The 19,509-nt window shown below is 42.6% G+C and overlaps 1 protein-coding gene across 4 annotated transcripts in view; it reads right to left on the bottom strand.

The window, feature by feature from the left end:
* The window catches only part of GPM6B (glycoprotein M6B), a 167,700-nt gene extending 149,889 nt beyond the window's left edge, over window positions 1-17,811 (bottom strand). For all 4 annotated transcript variants that reach the window (NM_001318729.2, NM_001001994.3, XM_011545497.3 and 1 more), the window contains exon 1: window positions 17,680-17,811. In NM_001318729.2, coding sequence (NP_001305658.1) covers window positions 17,680-17,683 — 4 coding nt within the window. In that variant the 5' untranslated portion in view covers window positions 17,684-17,811. The remainder of the gene's footprint in view (window positions 1-17,679) is intronic.

Here is a 19,509-nt window from a genome sequence, read left to right on the forward strand (position 1 = left end):
TTGCAGTGAGCCGAGATCGCGCCACTATACTCCAGCCTGGGCGATAGAGTGAGATTCCGCCTCAAAAAAAAAAAAAAGAAATTAATGGGTAAATGAAAAAAACAGTTCACTTCAATGTTTTATGCTGTCTTCTTTTGTTACATGAATATTTGAGAGTTTGCTAGAAAGAGGCTTAAATAGAAACTTCCAAGTACTATTTTCCAAAGCTAATTACAATTCAGTTTTATATCATATATGCTATCATCATTTATGTTTCATTATCATAAAGAATGCCTTGTAAGAGTTTAATGAATATCAACTGACTTACACAAGTAGGCCCACATCAGCAATAGTAATGAATGAAAACCAGTACTACGTCTGTCTGCATCAGGAAAAGATTTGTCCTGAAAGATGCCCTTCAGAAAGTACCTCCTGAACTGGGCAACTCCTATCTATACCTGGGTCTCTTTATTTGCTGTCTAGAATTTTTTGCCCTATTCCAGCCCAAATCCCAAACCTTCCTACAGGTTATATGTTTTAAAGGTTTGCAATGATGGTCTTACACTACTTTAGTAGAAGAGTGGGGCTTAGCCCACAGGGGTTCTTGGCTTTGCCCAGGGAAGATTTCAAGGGCTAGCCAGAGGTAGAGGAAAAAACAGCTTTATTGAAGAGGAGATGTTACAGCTCTGTGACTGCTCCTGTAGAGCAAGGCTACCCCATGGCCAGAGAGTAGCAGCTCAGAGCAGTTTTGCAACCACATTTATAACCCCCCCCCTTTTTTTTTTTTTAGACAGAGTCTTACTCTGTCACCCAGGCTGGAGTGCCGTGGCGCAATCTCAGCTCACTGCAACCTCCGCCTCGCGAGTTCAAGCAGCAATTCTCCTGCCTCAGCCTCCTAAGTAGCTGGGATTACAGGCGTGTGCCACCATGCCCAGCTAGTTTTTGTATTTTTAGTAGAGACGGGGTTTCGCCATGTTGGTCACGCTGGTCTCAAACTCCTGACCTCGTGATCCACCTGCCTCGGCCTCCCAAAGTGCTGGGACTACAGGCGTGAGCCACCGTGCCCGGCCTATACCCACTTTTAATAATATGGAGGTTAAGGGGTATTACATGCAGAAATTTCTAGGGAAGGGGTAGTACCTTTTAGGTCATCAGGTCATTGCCATGTAAAGGGGAGGTAATGCCCAGGTGTTGCCATGGCAATGGTAAGCTGACATGGCACACTAGTGGGCATGTCTTACAGAAAGCTGCTTCCACCCTGGCCCTGTTTTACCTAGTCCTCAATTTGGTCCAGCATCTGAGCCTGTCTCTGGAGTAGAGTCCCGCTTTCTACCTCACTTCAAAACTCAGTCTGCCTTATTGTTTCTTAACCTCAGCACTCTTGACATTTGGGGCCTGATAACTCTTTGTTGAGGAGAGGCTGTCCTGTGCACTATAGGACGGTTAGCAGCAACCCTGGCCTCCACCCACTAGATGCCAGGAGCACCTCCCCATCCCCCGAATCTGTAACAACCAACAAGGTCTCCAGACATTGCCAACTGTCCCTTGAGGGGGACAGAATCTACCCTAGTTGAGAACCATGAGTCTAACTGACAAACTCTTCTTGAGACAAAAAGAACCTCGCCTTTGCTTCTTAAGGAATCTGAAGTCTCAATTTCTCCCCAGTCCTTGACTTTCCAAACATTACCTGTAGGTACACGAGGGAGAGACTGCCAGGCGGAAAGCCCAACGCCTTCAAGCCTCCAACCAGGTCGACCTTTTGAATCAACAGCCCACTCTACGTCACAGCTACTTCACATATGAGTTTTTCTTTTTAATGCTATGTCACTTGTCATGTTGGGCTGAGGAAACTGCAATTGAATCACAGAGTAGAAATACCACCACTTTTACTCAAATCCCTAAATGCTAAAATAAGATAAAAAATAAACTTCACTTTCACATCCAAATTTAGACTTCAATTTTAAATTCTAGAGTTTCTACATTGAGAGACCACCCCCAAGACAGAAACATATGACAAAAGAAGTTAATTTTAAAAAGGGATTTTTATGCCTGAGGCCTTTCAGGATTACACAAACCTAAGTGTACCTGGCCGGGTGCGGTGGCTCACGCCTGTAATCCCAGCACTTTGGGAGGTCGAGGCGGGCAAAGCACCTGAGGTCAGGAGTTTGAGACCAGCCTGGCTAACACAGTGAAACCCATTTCTACTAAAAATACAAGAAATTAGCCTGGTGTGGTGGTACGCACCTGTAATCTTAGCTACTTGGGAGGCTGAGGCAGGAGAATAGCTTGAACCCAGGACGCAGAGGTTGCAATAAGCTGAGATCACGCCATTGCACTCCAGCTTGGACAACAAGAGTGAAACTCCGTCTCAGAAAAAAAAAAAAAACCTAAGCATACCTAAGTGTGCTGGCTAGTGGGGGATACTGCTGCCCAGGGACAGCAGGTGACATGTAGAAAATGTCTGGCAGTCCAGTTTGGTTGTAGCCATCATCAGCAGACAGGGAATGGCAGCACCCTGTGAAAAATCACATTTCCAAAGAGATGTTTTAGGAGAATCTACATTTGTGATTTTTGTTGCCCTTAAATAAACAAAAGTTTGAGGCCTTGTTGAGGAATAAGAATATTTCTGTGAAGTGATGGCTAACAGCCACACATATAATCTCATTTGACAGCTGAACAAACTGCTTTCCGGAATAAATCAAGCTCTTGCTACAGCCCAAGTGCTGGCCCCTTCTTCGCAGGGTGAGCAGCTATGTAAAATCTGCCAGGAGAAGTTTTCCATTAAATGTCTTAGGGAAACTAGGTAATCTTGAATTGACCAAGGAAATTTCATTATCATGAATAACATCTCCAAACATGGAAGTAATGTTTGAACAGAAGAGCTCCAATTAAATCTTTCCTGGGTTACTTTAGCTGTATCGCTCTAAGATAATAAAAACTGGCCTTTTTTCTTTCTTTCAACCAAGAATTTGCATCTTGAATGTAAACTTGGTCTTTGTAATGGTGCACATCAAGTCATATTTTTCTTATAGAAGAAATCTGCATTTTAACATATTAAGGATTTTTATTTTCTTTTTTATTTTCTTATGTTATGATATGGTGAAGGTTGGTTTAAGTAAAAATATCTCATTTCACTTTAGTTCACCCTCCAAGGCTCCTCCCGGGCATTTTACCTCCACTGAGTGGCACTGTGGGTCTTCCACCTGTTTTATCCGTAACGTTTTCCACATGGGATCATGACAGGTGTTACCTTGTTGACTATCCTCAATGAAGGCAGAGTGCCTTGAGGGCAGAAACTGTTACACGTCATCACTAGCCAACACAGAGTACAATTGCTACACAGCAGACTCATCTGCATATAACCTTAATTCACCTGCATGGGACCAAATCACTTACCGGGTGTGAAAATCATGACTTAACCATCCTTCTATTACAAGCTTAGCACTCAGTCTAATAAGTATTTGGTGAATGGATAAAATCGATCCTTTATTTTTTATTTTTATTCTTTTTTGAGACAAGGTCTCACTCTGTCGCCCAGGCTGGAGTGCAGTGGCGCAATCATGGCTCACTGCAGCCTTGATCTACTAGGCTCAAGCAATCCTCTCACCTCAGCCTCCTGAGTAACTGGGACTAAAGGTGCGTATCACCGGCCAGGCTAATTTTTAAAATTTAGTTTAATAGAAACAGGGCCTCATCATGTTTCCTAGGCTGGTCTCAAACTGCTAGGCTCAAGCGACCCTCCCACCTCGGCCTCTCGAAGTGCTGGGATCAGGAATGAGCCTCCATGCCCGGCCACAACCACCTTCAACGGAAGGATATTCCAATATCTAACTCAAACTCTATTTCCTCTTTTCTTGTATTCTGCATAAATATCTAAAAACAGGATCCCATCTTCAGGACTCCTGTGGACTTTGATGAGGTCCCTTCTTAGCTAAATTGTGAACTCTATCACTGTTTGGAAGTTTTAACATTCAACATGTGACTCCCAGGACTCATGGGCTCCCTGCTCTTGGAGAAAATATCAGGCAAGCAAAATTAATTGTGGTATGTTACCCACTAGCTTTGTCTTCCATTGGCAAACAGATTTTATTCTTGAATTAGTAGAAGAACTGATTTGACTTCTCATTCTGCATCAATATGACAATGAAATCAATATCTTTCATGAAAATACTACTAGTTGGAAAATATAGCACAAGCAAGCAGCTAAAACTCAGCTTAGAAACTGAGTTTTCCCTCAGTGATGATGGATTCTGTTCTCTTCCAGGAAGAGATGAAATTCTATTCAAAGGATGTAGCCCATGATGCATCCCATACGTTTGCTACTCAGCAGGTTCTGGGACATAGTCACAGAGTTACCATATACAGCTCTTATGACCAGGCTGGTATGTGATAACTCAGAATCAGCTTCCCTTCACAGTTTCTATGCTAATCTGAACAAGTTTGTCCATCCAGCTGGACTTTCAGAAGTCACAGGTCTATGGAAGGGAACCATGGCATTGCATGGAATTAGATTTAACCCTAATTGCTTTACTTTTTTATTTTTTAGAAACAGAGTGTCATTCTGTCACCCAGGCTGGAGTGCAATTCATAGTTCACTGTAACCTCAAAATCCTCAGCTCAAGCAATCCTCCCACCTCTGTTTCCCAAGTAGCTGGAACTACAGGCAGGCACCACCATGTCTGGCTTTTTTTTTTTTTTTTTGGTAGAGATGGGGTCTCGCTATGTTGCTCAAACTCCTGGCCCCAAGTGATCCTCCTGCCTTGGCCTCCCAAAGCACTGGGATTACCTTACATTTTACCTTTAAAAAATGCCACAAAAACTATGAGGGACCTTGAAATAAAATTTTTAAAGGTATGCAAAAACATCTTGGGGTACAAAGGAAAATCTAAATGTATGAAGAGATATACCATATACACAAATGAAAGACTTAATATAGTAAATACATTGACTATCATGAAATTATTCTGGCCAGGCGCCGTGGCTCACACCTCTAATCCCAGCACTTTGGGAGACCGAGGCAGGTGGATCACGAGGTCAGGAGATCGAGACCATCCTGGCTAACATGGTGAAACCCCATCTCTACTAAAAATACAAAAACATTAGCCAGGCATGGTGGCGGGCGCCTGTAGTCCCAGCTACTCAGGAGGCTGAGGCAGGAGAATGGCGTGAACCCAGGAGGCGGAGTTTGCAGCGACCCGAGATCGCACCACTGCACTCCAGCCTGGGCAACAGAGCGAGACTCCATCTCAAAAAAAAAAAATTATTCTATAAGTTCACTGCAACCCCACTCAAAATCCTGACAGGTATGTTTGTGGAGCATAAAACGCTGATTCCAAAAGCAAAGGATCGCACTTTGGGAGGCCGAGGCAGGCAGAGCACGAGGTCAGGAGATCGAGACCATCCTGGCTAACGCGGTGAAACCCCGTCTCTACTAAAAAAAAAATACAAAAAATTAGCCGGGCGTAGTGGCGGGCGCCTGTAGTCCCAGCTACTCGGGAGGCTGAAGCAGGACAATGGCGTGAACCCAGGAGGCGGAGCTTGCAGTGAGCCCAGATTGCGCCACTGCACTCCAGCCTGGGTGACACAGAGCGAGACTCCATCTCAAAAAAACAAACAAACAAAAAAAAAAAACACACAAAAAAAGCAGAGGATCAAGAATAGGTCACTTTTAAATAAGAGCAAAAGGGGAAAATTTCTCCTAAGAAATAGCCAGGCTTACTCTAAATCTATAGTAATGAAGACAGTGTAATAGTAGCACAGAGATGCCAAAACAGATCAAGGAATAGAATGAAGTCCATAGATGTACTCACACATATAGTAAGGAAGTACAGATATAGATATTATCGGGAGGAAAGAGTGAATTATTAAGTGCATGGTATTTCTGTATAGGAAATAAACAAATTTAAAAATAGCTTTCTATCTAAAACTATACCAAAAAATAGAATCCCAATGGAATAAAGGCTGAAAAGTGAAAAGCGTGATTTTAGAAAAACTTTCTTTTAGAAAATACTGAGGATTAGAAGAACATTTTCATGACTTTGGGGATAGAAACAATTTTAAAACAAGGCAAAGATAAAAAGCACAAGTCATAAAAAATTAAAGGAAAAGATTGATAATTAGGACTTTATTACAATAAAAAAGATTTAGTACAACAAAAGATGTATTCAACCAAGTTAAAAGATAAGCCATAGAGAGGAAGATGATATTGAAAACACATTTTAACTAAGGATTAGTATACAGAAGGCATAAAGAACTACTACAAATCAAGACAAATACAAATAAGGATCTAAATGGAAGAGAAAACCCAAATGACCAATAACCTACACAAAACTTTCAACCTCTCTAGAGAAATTCAACATAAAAAAAAAAACAATGAAATACCACTTCACACCTATCAGATATTTGAAAAAATAAACAATGTGACAATAGCAAATGCTGGTAAAGATACAAAGAAGCTGGAATGTTCATTCACTCCTGGTGAGAGTATAAATTGATACCACCACTTGAGAAGCAGTGGTAACACCATACGATTTAAAGCTAGTTCAGTGTGGTGACAAAGCATTCATTTTGCTGACTGCATCATTTACTCTGGTTAAGAAGATGACAAAGTTCCTCACTGAAGGAACATAGGCAAAGTATTATTGTCTAAGTCCAAACAAACGAGAAGAAAAGTCAACTGGCAAACCACAATTTCCTATGTAGTTCCATTTTCAGGATGAGAACCAAAAATCATCCCAGGCCTTTGGGCCTTTGTCCACACCTCTACTCCATTTGGAATATCCACTAGCCAAAGATTCACTAACTACTGCTAATTCAAACAATTCCTAAAATTTCACCTTCTACAGGAAACTAATTGGGAGGAGGCAGGCCTCAACATCTATTACATCCTTAAGTCCTGAAGTTAGCAAGCATTCACGTTGATCAAATCCTGAATAGGTATGCAACACTTACAGCTTTGTCTTCATTCACAACTCCTCAAAATGTACTTTCCATTTCTGAAGGGGATAATGGGGACACTTTATTTTTGTAATCTCTCCAGCTGTATACATGTTTTCATGTATCTATCTCATCTTTCATCAAGGATTTTCAAAGTCCTTCTCACAGCTGCTGTGTCAATGCTTTCCACTTAAAATAGAGGGTAGGAACCAATGATATGTGTACTTCCTAGTACGGTTCTACACACGAAAGCATTTAATAAATGCTTTTAACCATAATGATTTAGAAGCAGATCTCTTTTCCAGACAGAAAACATCCTCCTGTTTCAAAATAATGTTATCAAATGTTGGGCAAGCCACACCAGTCACAAGAGCTCATACTGTATTATTCCATTTATATAAAGTGCAAAGCTCTGCTGACAGAAATTAGGGGTGATTAGCCTTGATCAGGTATATCTGTAAGGCAGCCTGAGGCGGCTTCTAAGGGGCTGGTAATATTCTGCTTATTAATCTATAACTGCTGGTTACATTTATAAAAACTTATTAAGCTGTACACTTATGATTTGCCCACTTTTCGTGTACACATATTATACTTCAATAACAATTTTTAATGAGTTTACGATATTTGTGCCTCTTACAAAACATCTAAAAATATTTGTGACATCATATAATAGAGCTCAAAACAGTTTTTAGTAAACCGGTACAGTGGCTTTGCAAAATGGTAAGAATTCATAGGATGGAAATTCATCCCTTTAAGGTCCCAAATTCTTTTTAATTACCATGGAAACTGTCAGAATATGCCAAATGAGAAAACAAAAAGGAAAATATAAAGTACTGCATCAAATCACATTATCTTAAGAGCTTGACTTACATTGCTAATTACATTTCCATTCTTTGCCCATTGTGTGAAGGAACAGATGCCTGAATTTAAGCACCCATCTTAAAATCCACCATTTAAACATTCTTTTCGGGAAGACATTGTGAAACATTTCTAAATCTAAAACAGTGACCCAATGCACATACAATATAGCAGGTTTTCTAGGCTCCTTCTGACCCTCGCTTCCAATGTTCTTGTTCTTTTTGCGCTGGAACTATTTTGCAAGTATGGTCAGATGTCTCAGAAAACATTGACTTATAGTCTCCATTTGCAGGGAGGAGTCTAGGTTGTGGGGGCTGGGATGTAGGAATGGCAGAGATCAATGGCTATAGAAAACGGATCTCTAAACAAGGGGGAAATCAGTCCTTTCTCTTCCAACTCCTGCATCTCTCAAACACATGAACAAACGTAATGAAGACATGACTAAGGACGGAACGTGCAGGAAGGTTGCCTTAAGGGCTTAATCTGGTTAGATTTGATTACAGCTAAGAAGATGAATTCTAAATTTGGAAAGGCCATCAAGGTAACTAAGGATGTGACTAGATCCTTCATGTCTTTCCACTTAATGAGAACAAAAGATGATGAAAACTATTTTAGTAAGCAAAAGGATCTTCACAGATTCAGTCCTTTCAGAGATAAGGTGCACTAATCATTAGAAGTTACCAAGGAAAGCCAGGCACACTATTTCCCCAGGAGGTTGGCCTCATTATCGAGATGGTTTAGGCACCATTTTACTCCAAGGAAGAATGACTTAGGTGGTCTGCAAAGCTCCCCATTATATCTCCAGATTCTCTGATGATGTAAGAAAAAGATTAAAAAAAAAAAAACTTCCTTCAACTAAAAAAAACCAAGCATTCCTTTTGGAAAGAAAAACCTTTTAGACAAGAAATCCTCCCATTCTGCAGATGTGCTCAACCAAGTTCTCAACAATGCTACTACTCAGATTTTATGATATTGTGAGAAACAAAAGGTTTTCAATCCCTCTTACCCTTTAAGTAGTGGTAATCAATATGGTGCTCCCCTCCTCCCTCCCTGGGTTATCTGGCAATGTCTGGAGACATTTTTGGTTGTTACAACTAGAGGACTGTTACAACATGTAGTATGTAGAGAACACAGATGCTGCAAAACACTCTATAATGCGCAGGACAGCCCTCATACTCCCCCAACAAAGAATCACCCAGCCCAAAATGTCAATAGTGCTGAGGTTGAGAAACCCTGCTCTAAAACTATACTTAGAAAGGAAGAAAAAAGGACTTCTTTTATTTTAGTATCTATCTCCAGTTGGTCCAAAGAAGAAAATAGAATTTAACAGTCCTACAAAAACTAAACAAATAAATACCCAAGCAAATACTAAGCTCAACTCAAGATCTACTCTAACTCAAGATTGTTTATAATAGACCTTGTTATACCAAGTTCAAATATACTGAATTATATACAGCCATTAAGAGTAAAATTCCAAAGATCAGGTTTAAATACTTTTTCTTTTGGCAGATTTTATTTTTTTCTAACCAAGTAAGCAATTCTTACTTTTAGATACTTAAATTCTATTTTTGATTACTAGAAAATGTACTCCTTTTTCATTAAGTGGTCAACTTACCTATCAGATATAATTATTACATGTAAGTATCAAGCTATTAAAATAAATTTTAGAAATATTGATCAAGAAAAATAATGAGAATACCAATTACCTACATCACTAGAAATGAACAAGGGAGGCCGGGCACGGTGGCTCACACCTATAATCCCAGCACTTTGGGAGGCCGAGGCGGGCAGATCACGAGGTCAGGAGATCGAGACCACCCTGGCTAACACGGTGAAACCCCGTCTCTACTAAAAATACAAAAAATTAGCCAGGCGTGGTTGTGGGCACCTGTAGTCCCAGCTACTCGAGAGACTGAGGCAGAAGAATGGCGTGAGCCCGGGAGGTGAAGCTTGCAGTAAGCCGAGATCGTGCCACTGCACTCCAGCCTGGGTAACAGAGCGAGACTCCGTCTCAAAAAAAAAAAAAGAAACGAACAAGGGAACATCACTACAGATACTATAGATAACAGGATTAAACAGATAATACAAAATATTATGAACAACTTTGTGCCAACAAATAACTTAGATAAAATGGACAAAGCCCTTGAAAGCCACAATTTACCAAAATTGAAACAAAGAGAAAGTCTGAATATTCCTCTGCTAAAGAAATACACTTCATAACTTAAACATTTCTACAAAGAAAACTCCAGACCCAACTGGCTTCACTGGTAAATTCTTGCAAATATTTAAGGAAAAAAAAATGGCTGGGCACAGTGGCTCACACCTTTAATCCCAGCACTTTGGGAGGCTGAGGCAGGCAGATCACCTGAAGTCAGTAGCTCAAGACCAGCCTGGCCAACATAGTGAAATCTGTATCTACTAAAAATACAAAAAATTAGCCAGGCATGGTGGTGCATACCTGTAATCCCAGTTACTTTGGAGGCTGAGACAGGAGAATCGCTTGGACCCAAGAGGCTGAGGTTGCAGTGAGCTGAGATCACACCACTGCACTTCAGCCTGGGTGACAGAACTAGACTGTCTCAAAAAAACAAAAACAAAACAACAACAACAACAAATCCCACTTTTAAAATTAATAATCCATCATGCCTGTAATCCCAGCACTTTGGGAGGCCAAGGCGGGCGGATCACAAGGTCAGGCTATCATGGTGAAACCCCATCTCTACTAAAAATACAAAAAATTAGCCGGGCATGGTGGTGGGCGCCTGTAGTCCCAGCTACTCCGGAGGCTGAGGCGAGAGAATGGCGTGAACCCAGGAGGCAGAGCTTGCAGTGAGCCGAGATCGCACCACTGCACTCCAGCCTGGGCTACAGAGTGAGACTCCTTCTCAAAAAAAAAAGAAAAAAGAAAAAAAGAAAAATAAATAAATAAAATTAATAATCGAGTAAATAAATAGACATGGAAGTTGGTTCTGTTCCAATCCTCAACCCCTCTGTAGTCATGCCAAAGATCACCCCAATATCTTTCCATCCCAGAAAGCTAATACTTCCCTTCCTTCTCAAAAGGGATGAAACAATGGACTTACAAAAAAACATTTTTGTAAGATTCATTTATATGTGTCCATTTGTAATCAACTAAAATTCATTACTCCCATCTGGCTTTCAGTTCCCTGACCAAATCGTATTTCCTACTCTCTCCCATACCTACTCTCTGCTATGGCCAGGTCAGTTTCTTCAGAATTGCCCCAACAAACCTTGCTCACTCCTACCTCTCTTTCATGGGTTATCCTAATCCCTTCCACCCTTCTCAACACTCCTCAAATCTAAGTCACCACTGGAAACTTCATATAAGCCACAAGGTTTTACCTTTATCAGAACTTCTAAACTTTTATCTGGAATTTTATAGTTAGACACAAACGATTCTCTCAGTGGGTTTCTTTTATCCCCTTGGGGAGACTGTCATTTCCCTCCAGCTGCCATGTGCCTGCTTAAAATCCCTTCCTGATTCTCTGTGACCAACAGGGTAATGACCAAGTTATTTCCTGGTACTTTACAATCTGGCCTCAGCTCTCCCCACTCCCCCACATTGAGGCCATTCCCAACTCAACATACCCACACAGCAGCCTCTGCCACGGCTCCTGCTTTTACACATTTGTATCCAGGGCCTGGACCATCCTCTCCCAGACACCTGGACACCCTGACCCCTATCTTCCTGCTCATGCTTGAAGACTCTCAGATTTAAAGTAACTGCCTCCCTAGGGAATCCCTCTTTGAAATACCACCTCCCCGCTTTTTTCCTCAGACAGATACTCTTTTTCCTACAGGATCTTGTACTTTTATTATAGTTGTTTATCTGCCTTTCAGAAATGACTGTGGTTATTTGAGAACAGAGTCTTGTTTATTTTTTGCTTCAAGACTTAGCACAGTACTTGGCTCATCTGAACAGGACTCTGTGAATGCTTGCTGAGTGAGCAGCTGTCCAATACTCCCCTGAGAGCCCCATGGTGATGGACATGTGACAGGAATTCAAAGGCTTAGAGACTGGCACATGCTAGTTGCATGATATTGTGGTAGGTACTCATTTAACCCTAATACACATGGTGAGGATGGAAACACAAAGCTGCCATTGCCTTTTAATTCTCAGGGCAATAATGAGTTTCAGGGAAACAAAGCCTTCAACCCCAATCTTTCCAGAACTTCAAAAACCTGATGAGAAGGAAGTACTTTTCACCAGAGAAAGAAAAGTATTTTATAGCAGCAGAAGAAAAAAAGCTCAAGGCAAAAAAAAAGCTAATGAAAGAACATCCAAACTGCTCTTTCAATTGTTTCTGTGTCTGTATGCCTGGCAGCAATCAAATTACTTCTAAAGCAACTTCAAGCTCTGAAATTGTTATTCTGTGATAAAAGTATTATTATTAAAGAACAATAATTTACGTAATTTACCCTATTTTAGCATAGTTTACCAGAGTTTGCAGTACATCAATGTTAATTTAAATACCTTGAAATCTATAATTTTAATGTTGACAGACCTTAATAAAATGCATATGAATCCTCATTTTTAAACAAATATTTGTGTAACACCTATAATATGCCAATCATTCCAATGAACATTGGGGTATAACAATGAATAAAACGATTTCTGCTCTTGACAAATTTGGTATTTGAACAGAAAGAAGCATATGAAAAACACTAACAAGCCAGCCATCATGTTAAAATTATTAAATGGATGATGATGGCTCAAAATATAGCAGATGCTCTCTTACCAATGTTTACCTAAAGGACCCCACCCATTTACCCCATATCCTCCATTCTTTTTCTAAACCATACTGATCATTGTCCAGAACTTGGGTTGTAGGCTCTTTTGCAATATATGTATGTACTGCTTCTCCCCCAAGTAGTGTACTTAAGAAGAGTCAGTGGTGTTTGTTCCCAAACCTGTTTATGCCAGTTGTACTTGTTACTAGAATTATGAAACTTAATTCGATATTACATAAACTAATAAAATAGGAGTGCCAAACGAGAGAGTTTTTTCCTTTCTTTGAAAACCAGGTTGATTACTTTGGAGAGTCTTAACAAAAATGAGTCACTTGAGAAAATAGTTGCAAAAGTAAGTACGGGCAAATTTAAAGGTTTAAGGGGAGTGGGGTAGGTGATATAAAGGGATTCTGCCCAGAGATTGGTTCCCAATGCCTTTAGGTTTTCATTCTACTTTAATGTAAGAATCTGAAGCTGAAAATCAGAAGCCAATGAATTTTGGCTGTGATTTAATGTAAGAAAGACTTCTAGGAACTCCAATCAGGTCCTTGCACTCAAAGCAAAGGCCTTGACTCTACAATAAAATATCAGCAAATTAATGTTTAAAGTTAAACAAAATGTTTAGGCTACATAAGTGGCACGTTTTATGATTGATCCCTTTGGCATTTTCAATAAACCATCCAGCTGCTTGGTCCTGGATGTAGCAGATAAGGGTTTTCTCGGAGAAGCCAGGTGGTTTGGTCAACAGCTTTCGGTAGAGCAAAAATATAATAAAGAATTAATGACTTCCTGTTTGTCACAAACAGTACTCCGTGGTATTCGACTATGAGGTTTACTCAAAATGTCGGTTTGTGTCCCGATATTAAAAGGGAGCTCTCTCCAAGATCCAAGGGTGGGCTCCTTACTAGATCTTTAGACTCAGAGGGAGGGAAGCTAGCATATTCTGGGATCACTTCCTGCCCAGTTATTCAGCAGGATTCCATTCCTTTTTGTCTCCCACTGCATCTGAATTCCTGAGCAAGCTTCCAGAACCAAGCATTGCATGTATGGGTCTTCAGCGTGCTTCTTTCTGAGTGCAGCCTCTGAGGGTGGCTTGAGCCTGGATGTCGGGGAAGAAAGGGATTTAAGGAAAAGAGGTCAGGAGAAGCCAAAGCTGGAAGTGTTAAAGAGGGAGAACATTATAGCTTCCTCCACCAGTTCCCTTGGAGAAGAGCCAATCATACTGGAAGCATGCACATCGAAGATGCCAGCATTTAACCCAACTACAGGTGACACTTCTGATGCTGGCTTCATGCATTCAAGTAGTGTTTAGACCATCAGGGAGCTGTTTTCTCGTGGTTTTCAAGCATAACATTACTCTCTCATTTCTTTTTTTCTAAATTACATATTGGTTGACCTGTAAAGACCCAAAGAAATAATTTCATCAAATTCTTTTATTTTATAGTCAACTAAAATTATGAAGAGAAAATGATTTACCCACGATCACACAGCAAACTAGTGGGCAAGCTGGGGCAGGCACCAGGGCCTCTCTGCTTAACAGCCTTCTTTGCTTCCTGGCTCCAGGAACCAGAAGCATGAGCACCCACTGGGAGCTTGTTACAAATGCAGAAACTCAGGCCCCACCCAGGCCCACTGAATCAGACACTGCTTTTTTAACAAGATCGCTAGATGATCTGTACACATATTAAAAAGAACTGCTCTAGACCAAAATTTTTTATAATGCTATTTAGTGAAATTATTGACATTTAAATACATAATCCTTATAAAAACTTCCTTACCACAAAATGGGTTGAAACAATTATTTCAATATTTTGTTGTATCTGATCATTTCGTATACAGTTTCCATTTAAAATGATAGGCAATTGGCCACTCACAGTGGCTCACGCCTGTAATCCCAGCACTTTGGGAAGCAGAGGAGGGAGGATCACTTGAGGCCAGGAGTTTGAGACCAGTTTGGGCACCATAGAAATACCCTATCTCTACAAAAAAAAAAAAAAAAAAAAAACTGTAAAGCTTAATCGGGCATGGTGACACATGCCTGTAGTCCCAGCTACTTGGGAGGCTGAGGTGGGACGACTGCTTCAGCCCAGGAGTTCCAGGCCACAGTGAGTTATTACATCAGGCCACTGCAGTACAGCATGGACAGAGTGAGACCCTGTCTCCAAAAGATAAATAAATAAAAATAAAACAATTATAGGCAAAGAAACAAAATCCGCATTTCTCTCTGGATACATAAGCCATATTAAAGCAGCTTGGATATTCCACAAATGCCTTATAAGAGGTTATTACATGGAATTCACTTAATTGCTATGCCTTCAGGCCTATGAACAAGGTAACAGAATCAAAATTCTGTTGGGCAATGCAAGTTCCTATCAGATAAAACCAGAGTTAACACTGAAGGGTGTGTGTGTCTGTGTGCTGTGTGTGTGCACTCTCACTCACCTTCACAATATGTGCAGCCAAACATGGAACCCTTCAGCCAGAGAAATAGTTTCAACACACTCATTTAGGTAGCGTACTGCATACACAATACAGCAACATCTCATTGTGCAAAACGACCAAAGTTACTGAACAGTCAAATACACTTCAGACATCAATTGGCTCATTCCATTTACCTGAACCCTCCAGAAGAGGCAAATCCATAGAGACAGAAAGTAGGTTAGTGCTTGCCAGGGGCTGGGGGGAGAAGAGAATGAGGAGTGACTGCGAAATGGGTACAAGATTTCTTTTTGGGGTTGATGACAATGTTCTAACATTAGATAGTAGTGATGGCTGCACAAATCTGAATATACTGAAGACCACTGACTTGTATACTTAAACGTGTGAATTGTATGATATGTGAATTACATCTTAAGGCTATAAAAAAACTGGCTTAACAATGAAAAACCCATGTTTTCTTTCAAGATGTAATGAAAAGTGAAATTACACATATCACCACTACTCATTATTTTATTTTTAGGTTAAAGATTGCAAATACCTTAAAATTTGAGTCTGAAGGGACTTTTATTTCTACAAACCTCATCTATTTTACCAGTAAATTAACTGATCCTGGTTAAGGAACTAATTGTATTAAGAACCAAAGTCCCGACTTAATGGGCCAATGGTCAGAATTTTCCCAACGTTAAATCATTTCAATTAAAACATTCATAAGAGGATGCACGGTAATTAAATACATCTGGAAAAATAAAACCAGTTCATGGCCCTGTGGTGTATTTACTAAGAGTCTACCAAAGGAAATCAGTATGTTTCCTTTTTTACATGAAGGGAACTTTCTTTTTAATGTAAAAACTAAAACCAAAACCAAGGATACTGCCAGAACCAGTGAAGTATGCACAAATTAACATAAATTGGCAATTGAAATGTGGAGCCAACAATTGTCCAAAACACAAAGTACTTCCTTAAGAACAGGTCTCTGGCTCGGGCCTTTGCTTCATGAGAACTGCACCCAACTCCACACCTGTTTAAAAATGAAGCCCACCCTACCCCTAAATCAGTCCAAAGTATTGTGAAAGCTGTTCTGGAGAAGGTCCCCGTGTGATAATTCCACGTACAAATCCAAACGCCTAGCGTTAAATTAAAATAACGATTTCAGAAAAAGTAGTTGATGCTTTCCTCAATACCACACTTGTTCGTAACTGTAACATCTTTGGTGGCAATTATCACCAAAGTGATCACAGGCTGAGTAGCAGTCATCCTCTGAGCCTCATTTTGTGTATGAGCCTCATTTAAAACGGAGGTTGAATGGTTTGACTGCTCACATGGGGGACATTAAGAGAAGTAGGAACCTGAGTTACAGGCCACTCGATTCTGCCCTTTCTAGAAGGATCTTATGCTAGTTCTTGCCTTTTTAGAAAGAAATTTTCCTGTTGGATTTGGTGGGCCTTATCTCCTTTCATATTTTGATCACCTAGTAAATTTTTTAAAAATGTAAACCAGAAAATTATTTGAGCTTCCTTTGAAATGCAAAAAAGTGCCCCCTTTACTCCTCACCAAAATTTTAATCCGTACAAAATTATCGCCCCCCCACACACAATTAATAGCAAAGATAATGTGAAAGAGGGGGATGAATGATTAGGGGAAGCGGAGGAGCGGGCAAGCAATTCCCAAGCCCTCACCATTAACTCGCAATGGTTAAACCCACTGACGTCCTCGTTAGGAATGCTCTTCACAGTCTTTGTGGCTTGTGGCTGGAGTCTGTCACTAGAGAAAGATAACGGAGCAGGAGGAGAAAAACCCTTTCCCAAGCACAGCTGTCACACGTTTTCAGGAGTGCTGCGGAATGAGGCTGATTTCCACAGCACTCTTTACGAGTTTTCCTCCCAATACAGAGTCCCCACTTAAAGACATGTTGCTGACGGCAGCATTTCAGGGTGTTAGGAAGTGACAAAAAGAATCCTACAGCCGCCTTACACCAGCCTCGGGCCAGGTTGGAGATTTCAGATTTTAACCCTCCGGAGCTGAGCCTTTTGCCGTTGCTAGTCGTTCCCCCGTTGCATTGGAACCCGCTCAGCACACCGCCTCCACCTGCACCCGGGCCGCATTTTAATAGTTGGAACAAGGGACAAAGAGGAGAGACTCAGCCTCCGTCCCATGCTGTCCAGAGTCTCTCCTGTCACTTTCCTGGTTTCAAGGGTCATGGTTTCGAAATGAGCTCCCGGAAGACCCCAGGCTTGGGGAACCGGGTGTTTGTTTCGCGCGGGCTTAAGGAGAACAGAAGCACGGCGGGGCGGGGCGGGGCAGGACTGGACTGGGAGCTCGGGCGACAGGGAGAGCGTCCCGGGAAACAGGCAAGAAGCGACTCTCTACTGGCCCCTTAAAATAAAGCACTAGCCCGGGACGCGCCGTCTGTTCTCTCTGCAACCCCTCCCGGGTACCCAGCTCTTAGGCTCCCGCGAGCCGCACGTGCGGGGGTGCAGCCTGGCCGCAGCCGGAGCGGGGACCACCCCCCCCACAGGATACAACAGGGAAGCGCACCTGGGCGTTCCGGACACCTGCGCCGCGCCCCTCCCACCTCCAGCGTCCCGGCTTCGTCGCAGAGGTGGCCGAGGAGGCGCCACCTGAGCGGGGGAGGGGCGGGACCCTCGGAAGGGCGCGCCCTCCCGGGGCGGGGGCGCGAGACCGTGGCCGTGGCGCGCAGCCAGCGCGCTCGCTTACCCATGGCTGGAGACTGGCGGGAGGGGTGAGGGCTGCGGGGCGTTCGGGCTCCCCGGGGACGGGCAGAGCCGGTGGCACAAGTTTGCAGGTCTCGCGGGCACGTGCGCTGACCGGGCTTCTGCGGGCTGCGCTGCGCTGCGCGGGGCTGGCCGCTGGCTCCTAGCTCCCGGCCGGGGTGGGAGCGCGGCGCGGCTCCGCCTGCACTGGGGGCCGGCCGCGCGGAGAGGGGCCCTGACGTCAGCGCCGGGGGCTTTGTGCGCCCGGAGCTAGGGCCCGATTGGGGGCAGCGGGCGCGCGGAGTCTGCAGGCAAAGCTCGCGGCTTCCTCTGGGACCCCCCCGGGCGAGCGCCGAGGGTCGCGGGAACCGGAAAAGCCAGCGAGGGGGATGGGTAGAGAGGGGAGTGGGCTTCTAGGATCGCGGAGGCGGCGATCCGCGTCCCAGATGAAAACTATTATGGCCTGGGGAGGTTGGGGGGAGCGGGGGGCTTTGAGGTCTTAGCCACACCCGTTGTATAGATAAAGAAACTGAGGCCCGGGACACTGGACCAAGGGCACTTAGTACTTAGCGTTGCCTCAATCCACAGTCTCAGTTCCTTTTGTTCAGATACGAGTCGTTACTTAATTCAGTGGTCTCAACCCTGGCTGCAGAGGAGAAATCAGCTGGGGAGCTTCTGGAAACCGGATTTCATCATGGCCTCTGCGGGTGGGACCCAGGCATCCGTTCTTTAAAAGCTCCCCAGGTGATTCCAATGTGCATCCAAGGTTGCGAAACATTGACATAAGTAACTTGTCGGTGGCTAATGACTTAGAAAGACACAGGTAGCACCCTCCAATCTAGAGTGGTGCCAGATTTGCTGGTGTCCGTTATCACCCCTCTTGATTCCTGGAAGTCCACCCCTGGAAGGCTCTTGGAGACTTTGCAGGCTAGCTCCAGTCAACCATTTCTCCCGCTGCTCAGGCCTCGCGCTTGAGCCTTTAAGTGAATTAAATGGTTTAACAGTGTCCAGGGCTTAAATTCCTTCTGTCTCCTTAGAGAATTTTCCTGTCTCCAAAGGTATTAGAAGAGTCATGGGACCCTTGCAGTTTTTGTAGGACTAACGCTCTCTGTGACATTTCTGAGCCTGATGTTCCCCCCTGATATTTTTTGTTGTGTTCTTTTATTGTTCTGAAAATACATCATGTTATTTGAACAGAGGGTTACATAAACAGTGACAATAGATAGTACACTTTAGGGACATTTAAGCCAAAAGAGAGGCTTTAGGACTGAGAAAGGATGGAGGAGGCAAACATTTCATCTATTGAAATTTATTGGATTAGGAAAGATTTTATCAAGGCAGAGCTCTAGAAAGCCTAATAATATTTTACATGAAAGGACAGAGATTTGTGCTAGGCGGATCAGTGGCTCATTTTCACAATCCCACGGGAATAGTCATTTCTAACCAATCTTCATGCAGTCATAAAACAACAGGGAGCTCATAGGTATAACTTGTTGTCCTCCTGTTAAGAGGAAGTAATCCATTTGCGCCATTCCTGAGTGCAAGTGTATGTAGGAATCCAACAATAACAGAGGCTGCCTGTAAGGTAGAGGAAGACAAAGGTGGACTGGGTGAGAGCAATGAGGAATTCATGCTAAGTCCTAGTTGAGGGAAGGGTGAGTTTGGTCGGTTCCTACATCTTGAGGGTTTCCTAGGAGACCCTGAAAACAACAGAAGGGAACTCAGGCATGACCATCTGAAATAGTACTTTGGCAAGACATGACCTTAATGAGCCTCTCTGGAACGAGGAACTCTAAGGTTTTATGTACTGAGATGAAAGTAAACTCCTTGGTCT

This window comes from Homo sapiens, chromosome X (assembly GCF_000001405.40).
Source record: "Homo sapiens chromosome X, GRCh38.p14 Primary Assembly".
In the NCBI taxonomy this organism is placed as follows: domain Eukaryota; kingdom Metazoa; phylum Chordata; class Mammalia; order Primates; family Hominidae; genus Homo; species Homo sapiens.